Here is a 10,833-nt window from a genome sequence, read left to right as displayed (position 1 = left end):
AACCAAAGCAAAAGTTTAACTCTTTAAGCTGAATCCACACATCACAAAGCATTTTCACAGATAGCTTGTTTCAAGTTTTTATTGGGGGATATTCTGTTTTTCACTATAGGCCTCAGTGGGCACAGAATTGTCCCCTCTCAGATTCTACTAAAGGAGTGTTCACAATATGCTGTATAAAAATAAAGGTTTAACTCTGTGAGATGAATCTACATACTGCAAAGCATTTTTAGATATAGCTGGCTTCTAGTTTTTATTGTGGGATGTTTGGTTTTTCACTATAGGCCTCAAAAGGCTCTGAAATGTCCCTCCTTAGGTTCTATAAAATGAGAGTTTTCAACCTGCTGAATATAAACAGAGGTTTACCTCTGTGAGATGAATTCACACATCTCAAAACATTTTCACAGATAGTTTTTTCTAGTTTTTATTATGTGATACTCAGTTTTTCACTATAAGCCTGAATGGGCTCCAAAATTTCCCTTTGTAGATTCTACAAAAAGAGTGTTGCCAACCTGCTATATTAAGACAAGGTTCTACTCTGTGAGATGAATCCACACATTGCAAAGCATTTTCACAGATTGTTTGCTCCTAGTTTTTATAGGGGAATATTCGTTTTTTTACTATAGGCCACAAAGATCTCAGAAATGTCTATGAGATTCTACTAAAAGAGCATTTCCAACCTGCTGTATATAAATATAGGTTTAACTCTGTGAGAGAAATCCACATATCACAAACATTTTAACAGATAGCTTGTTTCTAGTTTTTATTGTGGGATATTTGGTTATTCACTAGAGGGCTCAATGGGCTCCTAAATGTCCTATTGTAGATTTCTCAAAAAAAAGTTTCCAATTTGCTCTATAAAATCAGAGGTTTAACTCTGAGATGAATCCATACATTGTAAAGCATTTTCATAGATAGATTATTTCTAGTTGTTATTGCAGGATACTCTGTTTTTCATTAGAGGCCTCTTTAGGCTTCAAAAGATCACTACATAGATTCTACAAAAAGTGTTTCCAGCCTGCCGAATCACAAGGAAGTTTTAATTGTGAGAGATCATCCCACTCACTGCAAAACACTTTTACAGATAGGTTGTTTCTGGTTTTCATTGTGGGATATTCAGTTTTTAAATATAGGCCTCAATGGGCTCTGAAATGTTCCTTCAAAGGTTCTACAAAAAGAGTTTTTCCAACCTACTGAATCAAAATAAAGGTTCAGGTAGGCAGCCAAGATGGCTGAATAGGAACGGCTCCAGTCTACAGCTCCCAGCGTGAGCGATGCAGAAGACGGTGATTTCTCCATTTCCATCTGAGGTACCAGGTTCATATCACTAGGGAGTGCCAGACAGTGGGTGCACGACAGTGGGTGCAGTGCACCGTGCATGACCCGAGGCAGAGCGAGGCATTGCCTCACTCAGGAAGCACAAGGGATCAGAGAGTTCCCTTTCCTAGTCAAAGAAAGGGGTGACAGACGGCACCTGGAAAATCGGGTCACTCCCACCCGAATACTGCGCTTTTCTGACGGGCTTAAAAAACGATGCACCAGGAGATTATATCCCACACATGGCTCGGAGGGTCCTACGCCCACGGAGTCTTGCTGATTGCTAGCACAGCAGTCTGAGGTCAAACTGCAAGGTGGCAGCGAGGCTCGGGGAGGGGCATCCGCCATTGCCCAGGCTTGCTTAGGTAAACAAAGCAGCTGGGAAGCTTGAACTGGGTGGAGCCCACCACAGCTCAAGGAGGCCTGCCTGCCTCTGTAGGCTCCACCTCTGGGGGCAGGGCACAGACAAACAAAAAGACAGCAGTAACCTCTGCAGACTTAAATGTCCCTGTCTGACAGCTTTGAAGAGAGCAGTGGTTCTCCCAGCACGCAGTTGGAGATCTGAGAATGGGCAGACTGCCTCCTCAAGTGGGTCCCTGACCCCTGACCCCTGAGCAGCCTAACTGGGAGGCACCCCCCAGTAGGGGCAGACTGACACCTCACACAGCCAGGTACTCCTCTGAGACAAAACTTGCAGAGGAACGATCAGACAGCAGCATTCGCGGTTCACGAAAATCCGCTGTTCTGCAGCCACCGCTGTGGATACCCAGGCAAACAGGGTCTGGAGTGGACCTCTAGCAAACTCCAACAGACCTGCAGCTGAGGGTCCTGTCTGTTAGAAGGAAAACTAACAAACAGAAGGGACATCCACACCAAAAACCCATCTGTACATCACCATCATCAAAGACCAAAAGTAGATAAAACCACAAAGATGGGGAAAAAACAGAGCAGAAAAACTGGAAACTCTAAAAAGCAGAGCGCCTCTCCTCCTCCAAAGGAACGCAGTTCCTCACCTGCAATGGAACAAAGCTGGATGGAGAATGACTTTGACGAGTTGAGAGAAGAAGGCTTCAGATGATCAAACTACTCCGAGCTACAGGAGGAAATTCAAACCAAAGGCAAAGAAGTTAAAAACTTTGAAAAAAATTTAGATGAATGTATAACGAGAATAACCAATACAGAGAAGTGCTTAAAGGAGCTGATGGAGCTGAAAGCCAAGTTTCAAGAACTACGTGAAGAATGCAGAAGCCTCAGGAGCCGATGCGATCAACTGGAAGAAAGGGTATCAGTGATGGAAGATGAAATGAATGAAATGAAGTGAGAAGGGAAGTTTAGAGAAAAAAGAATAAAAAGAAATGAACAAAGCCTCCAAGAAATATGGGACTATGTGAAAAGACCAAATGTACGTCTGATTGGTGTACTGAAAGTGACAGGGAGAATGGAACCAAGTTGGAAAACACTCTGCAAGATATTATCCAGGAGAACTTCCCCAGTCTAGCAAGGCAGGCCAACATTCAGATTCAGGAAATACAGAGAACGCCACAAAGATACTCCTCAAGAAGAGCAACTCCAAGACACATAATTGTCAGATTCACCAAGGTTGAAATGAAAGAAAAAATGTTAAGGGAAGCCAGAGAGAAAGGTCGGGTTACCCACAAAGGGAAGCCCATCAGACTAACAGCAGATCTCTCGGCAGAAACTCTACAAGCCAGAAGAGAGTGGGGGCCAATATTCAACATTCTTAAAGAAAAGAATTTTCAACCCAGAATTTCATATCCAGCCAAACTAAGCTTCATAAGTAAAGGAGAAATAAAATACTTTACAGACAAGCAAATGCTGAGAGACTTTGTCACCACCAGGCCTGCCCTAAAAGAGCTCCTGAAGGAAGCACTAAACATGGAAAGGAACAACCAGTACCAGCCACTGCAAAATCATGCCAAAATGTAAAGACCATCAAGGCTAGGAAGAAACTGCATCAACTAACGAGCAAAATAACCAGCTAACATCTTAATGACAGGATCAAATTCACACATAACAATATTAACTTTAAATGTAAATGGGCTAAATGCTCCAATTAAAAGACACAGACTGGCAAATTGGATAAAGAGTCAAGACCCATCAGTGTGCTGTATTCAGGAAACCCATCTCACGTGCAGAGACACACATAGGCTCAAAATAAAAGGATGGAGGAAGATCTACCAAGCAAATGGAAAGCAAAAAAAGGCAGGGGTTGCAATCCTAGTCTCTGATAAAACAGACTTTAATCCAACAAAGATCAAAAGAGACAAAGAAGGCCATTACATAATGGTAAAGGGATCAATTCAACAAGAAGAGCTAACTATCCTAGATATACATGAACCCAATACAGGAGCACCCAGATTCATAAAGCAAGTCCTGAGTGACCTACAAAGAGACTTAAGACTCCCACATAATAATAATGGGAGAATTTAACACCCCACTGTCAACATTAGACAGATCAATGACACAGAAAGTTAACAAGGATACCCAGGAATTGAACTCAGCTCTGCACCAAGCAGACCTAATAGACATCTACAGAGCTCTCCACCCCAAATCAACAGAATATACATTTTTTTCAGCACCACACCACACCTATTCCAAAATTGACCACATACTTGGAAGTAAAGCTCTCCTCAGCAAATGTAAAGAACAGAAATTCTAACAAACTGTCTCTCAGACCACAGTGCAATCAAACTAGAATTCAGGATTAAGAAACTGACTCAAAACCGCTCAACTACATTGAAACTGAACAACCTGCTCCTGAATGACTACTGGGTACATAACGAAATGAAGGCAGAAATAAAGATGTTCTTTGAAACCAACGAGAACAAAGACACAAGCCTAACATCACAATTAAAGGAACTAGAAAAGCAAGAACAAACACATTCAAAAGCTAGCAGAAGGCAAGAAATAACTAAAATCAGAGCATAACTGAAGGAAATACAGACACAAAAAACCCTTCAAAAAATTAATGAATCCAGGAACTGGTTTTTTGAAAAGATCAACAAAATTGATAGACCACTAGCAAGACTAATGACAAAAAGAGAGCAGAATCAAATAGACACAAAAAAATGATAAAGGGGATATCACTACCGATCCCACAGAAATACAAACTACCATCAGAGAATACTACAAACATCTCTGTGCAAATAAACTAGAAAATCTAGAAGAAATGGATAAATTCCTCGACACATACACTCTCCCAAGACTAAACCAGGAAGAAGTTGAATCTCTGAATAGACCAATAACAGGATCTGAAATTGTGGCAATAATCAATAGCTTACCAACCAAAAGAGTCCAGGACCAGATGGTTTCACAGCCGAATTCTACCAGAGGTACAAGGAGGAACTGGTACCATTCCTTCTGAAACTATTCCAATCAATAGAAAAAGAGGGAATCCTCCCTAACTCATTTTATGAGGCCAGCATCATCCTGATGCCAAAGCCAGGCAGAGACACAACCAAAAAAGAGAATTTAGACCAATATCCTTGATGAACATTGATGAAAAAATCCTCAATAAAATACTGGCAAACCGAATCCAGCAGCACATCAAAAAGCTTATCCACCATGATCGAGTGGGCTTCATCCCTGGGATGTAAGGCTGGTTCAATATATGCAAATCAATAAATGTAATCCAGCATATAAACAGAACCAAAGACAAAAACCACATGATTATCTCAATAGATGCAGAAAAGGCCTTTGACAAAATTCAACAACCCTTCATGCTAAAAACTCTCAATAAATTAGGTATTGATGGAACGTGTCTCAAAACAATAAGAGCTATCTATGACAAACCCACGGCCAATATCATACTGAATGGGCAAAAACTGGAAGCATTCCCTTTGAAAACTGGCACAAGACAGGGATGCCCTCTCTCACCACTCCTATTCAACATAGTGTTGGAAATTCTGGCCAGGGCAATCAGGCAGGGGAAGGAAATAAAGGGTATTCAATTAGGAAAAGAGGAAGTCAAATTGTCCCCTTGTGCAGACGACATGATTGTATATCTAGAAAACCCCATTGTCTCAGCCCAAAATCTCCTTAAGCTGATAAGCAACTTCAGCAAAGTCTGAGGATACAAAATCAATGTACAAAAATCACAAGCATTCTTATACACCAATAACAGACAAACAGAGAGCCAAATCATGAGTGAACTCCCATTCACAATTGCTTCAAAGAGAATGAAATACCTAGGAATCCAAATTACAAGGGACGTGAAGGACCTCTTCAAGGAGAACTACAAACCACTCCTCAAGGAAATAAAAGAGGATACAAAGAAATGGAAGAACATTCCATGCTCATGGGTAGGAAGAATCAATATCGTGAAAATGGCCATACTGCCCAAAGTAATTTACAGATTCAATGCCATCCCCATCAAGCTACCAATGACTTTCTTCACATAATTGGAAAAAACTACTTTAAAGTTCATATGGAGCCAAAAAAGAGCCCACATTGCCATGTCAATCCTAAGCCAAAAGAACAAAGCTGGAGGCATCATGCTACCTGACTTCAAACTATACTACAAGGCTACAGTAACCAAAAACAGCATGGTACTGGTACCAAAACGGAGATATAGATCAGTGGAACAGAACAGAGCCCTCAGAAATTATGCCGCATATCTACAACTATCTGATCTTTGACAAACCTGAGAAAAACAAGCAATGGGGAAAGGATTCCATATTTAATGAATGGTGCTGGGAAAACTGCCTAGCCATATGTAGAAAGCTGAAACTGGATCCATTCTTTACACCTTATTTAAAAATTAATTCAAGATGGATTAAAGACTTAAATGTTAGATGTAAAACTATAAAAACCCTAGAAGAAAACCTAGGCATCACCATTCAGGACATAGGCATGGGCAAGGACTTCATGTCTAAAACACCAAAAGCAATGGCAACAAAAGCCAAAATTGACAAATGGGATCTAATTAAACTAAAGAGCTTCTGCACAGCAAAAGAAACCACCATCAGAGTGAACAGGCAACCTACAGAAGGGAAGAAAATTTTTGCAACCTACTCATCTGACAAAGGGCTGATATCCAGAATCTACAAAGAACTCAAACAAATTTACAAGAAAAAAACAAACAACCCCATCAAAAAGTGGGTGAAGGACATGAACAGACACTTCTCAAAAGAAGACATTTATGCAGCCAAAAAACACATGAAAAAATGCTCACCATCACTGGCCATCAGAGAAATGCAAATCAAAACCACAATGAGATACCATCTCACACCAGTTAGAATGGCCATCATTAAAAAGTCAGGAAACAACAGGTGCTGGAGAGGATGTGGAGAAATAGGAACACTTTTACACTGTTGGTGGGACTGTAAACTAGTTCAACCATTGTGGAAGTCAGTGTGGCGATTCTTCAGGGATCTAGAACTACAAATGCCATTTGACCCAGCCATCCCATTACTGGGTATATACCCGAAGGACTATAAATCATGCTGCTACAAAGTCACACACACACATATGTTTATTGTGGCTCTATTCACAATAGCAAAGACTCGGAACCAACCCAAATATCCAACAATGATAGACTGGATTAAGAAAATGTAGCACATATACATCATGGAATACTATGTAGCCATAAAAAATGATGAGTTCATGTCCTTTGTAGGGACATGGCTGAAATTGGAAATCATCATTCTCAGTAAACTGTCACAAGAACAAAAAACCAAACACCGCATATTCTCACTCATATGTGGGTACTGAACAATGAGAACACATGGACACAGGAAGGGGAATATCACACTCTGGGGACTGTTGTGGGGTGGGGGGAGGGGGGAGGGGGTAGCATTAGGAGATATACCTAATGCTAAATGACGAGTTAATGGGTGCAGCATACCAGCATGGCACATGTATACATATGTAACTAACCTGAACATTGTGTACATGTACCCTAAAACTTAAAATATAATAATAATAAAATAAAATAAAAAATAAAGGTTCAACTCTGTGAGATGAATCCACACATTGCAAAGCATTTTTACAGATAGCTTGTTTCTAGTTTTTCTCACAGAATAATCAGTTTTTGACTATAGGCTACAATGGGCTTCAAAATATGGCTTTGTAGATTCCACAATAACAGTGCTTCAAATCTGCTTAATCAAAGCAAAGGGTTGATTCTGTGAGATGAATCCACACATTATAAAGCATTTTCACATGTATCTTGTTTCTACTTTTTATCATGGGATATGTGTTCATTTACTATAGGCCTCACTTGGCTCTCAAATGTGACTTCTTAGATTCTACAAAAAGAGTATTTTCAACCTGCTGATTGAAAACAAAGGTTTAACTCTGTGAGATGAATCTGCACATTGCAAAGCATTTTCACAGATAATTTGTGTCTCCTTTTTGTCTCTGGACTTTTGGTTTTTCACTACAGGCCTCAGTTGGCTCCAAAATGTCCCTTTGTAGATTCTAGAAAAAGAGTGTTTCCAAATTGCTGAATCAAAACAAAGTTTAACTCTGTGAGATGAATGCAAAAATCAAAAAACATTGTCACAGATAGCTTGTTTCTAGTTTTTATCATAGGATATTTTGTTTTCCACTGTAGGCCTCAGTGGGCTCTGAAATGTCCCTTTGCAGTTTCTACAAAAAGAGTGTTTCCAAACTGCAGAATCAAAACAAAGTTTTAACTCTGTGAGATGAATCCATACATCGCAAAGCAGTTTCACAGATAGCTTGTTTCTAGTTTTTATCATGGGATATTCAATTTTTCTCCATAGGAATAAATGGGATTTGACATATCCCTTTGTAGATTCTACAGTAAGAGTGATTCCAAAGGTTAAATTAAAACTAAGGTTTAAATATGTGAGATGACTGTACACATCACGAAGCATTTTCACAGATACTTGCTTGTAGGGAGACCCCCTGAAACTATTGCTATGGAATAAAAGATGAAATGCTCCTGATTATTGTAAATGCAAAATTGCATGCAGGATTGTAGAAAGACAATGCCAGGTTGGACTGCCAGAATGAGCCAACAACGCATGATGTGCTTCCTCCTGCAGAGAGCCTATGAATGGATGTGCAGTCAGGGAGGTTTCACATCACCAAGATTCCTATCCCAGAAAAGCAGATGTTCATAGCTCTGGGAATGGAATGTGACCCTTGTGGAGAGCCTATAAACAGACGCTTGGGGGGCACCTGTCCATATGGATAAGATAGAGCTATAAACGCCCTTTTCTTGCCATGGCTTTTCTAGGCCTCTTTAAGGTTAAGGCATACTTCCTTCTGAGAATTTCTGGTCTAACAGGTTGTCTAGCTTCACTTCCTGTTTCTACAGATTATTTGTAACCAGCTTTTGCTGCAACTGTTACTGCTGATTAATATCTTGCTAATCATAGGTTATGGAAAGACTGTGTTTCTGTTTTAAGGCTCTGTTAGAAATTACTGATGCACACACTATATTATAAATTCTTATCTCTGTATACTGTATTTCTGCACACAGATGTTATGTTAAAGAATTACTTCATCCCCATGTGACCATCTCACCTCATAATCAAATGACCCTAAATCCCTCACTAACCTATCACCACCCTCACTAAACTTAATAATAAGTGCTGGTATATCCAGTGCATTGTTGGCATCATGGGACCAGAAGGCAGTGACCCCCCTGGATCCAGCTTTCTCTATCTTTTGTGTGTCTATTATTTCTCCACCTGCCAATCCACCTGGGAACAAAGAGAGAGCCCTGTTGCATTGCAGGCTGCTGGCCACATCCCGCAATACTTGCTTCTAGTCTTTACCACAGAAAGTTCATTTTTTCACTACAGGCCTCAATGGGTTCCAAAATGTCCCTTTGTAGATTCTTCAAAAAGAGTGTTTTCAACCTGCCCTTCATAGATTTTACTGATAGAACATTTTCAACCTGATCAATCAAAACAAAAGTTTAACTCTGTGGGATGAATCCCCGCATCGCAAAGGATTTTCTCAAAGAGTTTTTTCTAGTTTTTATTGTGGGATATTTGGTTTTTCACTGTAGGCCTCAGTGGGCTTTGAAATGTCCCTTCATAGATTCTAGAAAACGAGGGTTTCCAACTTGCTGAATCAAAATAAAGGTTTAACTCTGTGAGATGAATTCACACATTGCAAAGGATTTTCTCAATTAGCTGTTTTCTAGTTTTTATGGTGGGATATTAGATTTTTCACTATAGGCCTCAATGGGCTCTGAAATGTCACTTCATAGGATCTAGAAAAGAGTATTTTCAATGTGTCGAATCAAAATGGAGGTTTAACCCTTTGAGACGAATTCATATATTGCAACAAATTTTTGCAGATAGGTAGTTTCTAGTTTTTATCACAGTATATTTGGTTTTTCAGAATAGGCCTATATGGGCTATGAAATGTTTCTTCGTAGATTCTACAAAAGAGTGTTTCCAACCTGCTGAATCAAAGCAAATGTTAAACTCTGTGAAATGAGTGAACACATCACAAAGCATTTTCACAGATAGCTTTTTTCTAGTTTTTATCGCTGGGTATTAGGTTTTTCACTGTAGGCCCCAATGGACTTTGAAACGTCCCTTTTTTTTTTGCTTCTGCAAAAAGAATGTTTTCAACCTACTGAATAAAACTAAAGATTTAACTTTGTGAAATGAATCCACACATCGCAAAGCATTTTCACAGATATTTTGTTTCTAGTTTTTATCATGAGATATTAGGTTTTTCTCTATAGGCCCCAATGGGCTCTGAAATGTTCCTTTGTACATTCTACAAAAAGAGTTTCCAATCTGATGACTCAAAAGAAATGTTTATCTCTGTGAGATGAATGCACACATCGAAGAGCATTTTCACAGATACCTCGTTCCTAGTTTTTATTGCAGAATATTCAGTTTTTCTCTATAGGCTTTAATGCGATTCCAAATGTTCCTTCATAGATTCTACAAAAGAGCATTTCCAACCTGCTAAATCAAAATGATGATGTAACAGTGAGATGAACCCACACATCACAAAGCAATTTCAAATATAGCTTGTTACTAGTTTTTATTGTTGAATGTTCAATTTTTCACTATAGGCCTCAATGGGCTTCGAAATGCCCCTTTGTAGATTCTATAAAAAGAGGGTTTCCAACCTGCTGAATCAAAAAAAAAGTTTACCTATATTTGGTGAATGCACACATCAAGAAGCATTTTCACAGATAGCTTGTTTTTAGTTTTTATCCTGGAATATTTGGTTTTCTACTGTAGACCTGAATGGGCTCCAAAATGTCCCTTTGTAGATTCATAAAAAGAGTTTTTCCAAAGTCCTCTTTGTAGATTTACAAAAAGTGTGTTTTCATCCTGCTGAATCCAAACAAAGGTTTGACTCTGTGAGATGAATCCCCACATTGCAAAGCATTTTCACAGATAGCTTGTTACTAGTTTTTATTGTGGGATATTTGCTTTTTTGACTATGGGTCTAAATAGGTTCCAAACTGTCCCTCTGTAGATTCTACTAAAAGAGTGTTTCCAACCTGCTGAATCAAAAGAAAGGTTTAACTCTTTGAGATGAATGCCC

This window comes from Homo sapiens, chromosome 17, assembly GCF_000001405.40.
Source record: "Homo sapiens chromosome 17, GRCh38.p14 Primary Assembly".
In the NCBI taxonomy this organism is placed as follows: Eukaryota; Metazoa; Chordata; class Mammalia; order Primates; family Hominidae; genus Homo; species Homo sapiens.
The sequence above is the reverse complement of the archived record's forward strand: the minus strand, read 5'-3'. Positions refer to the sequence as shown.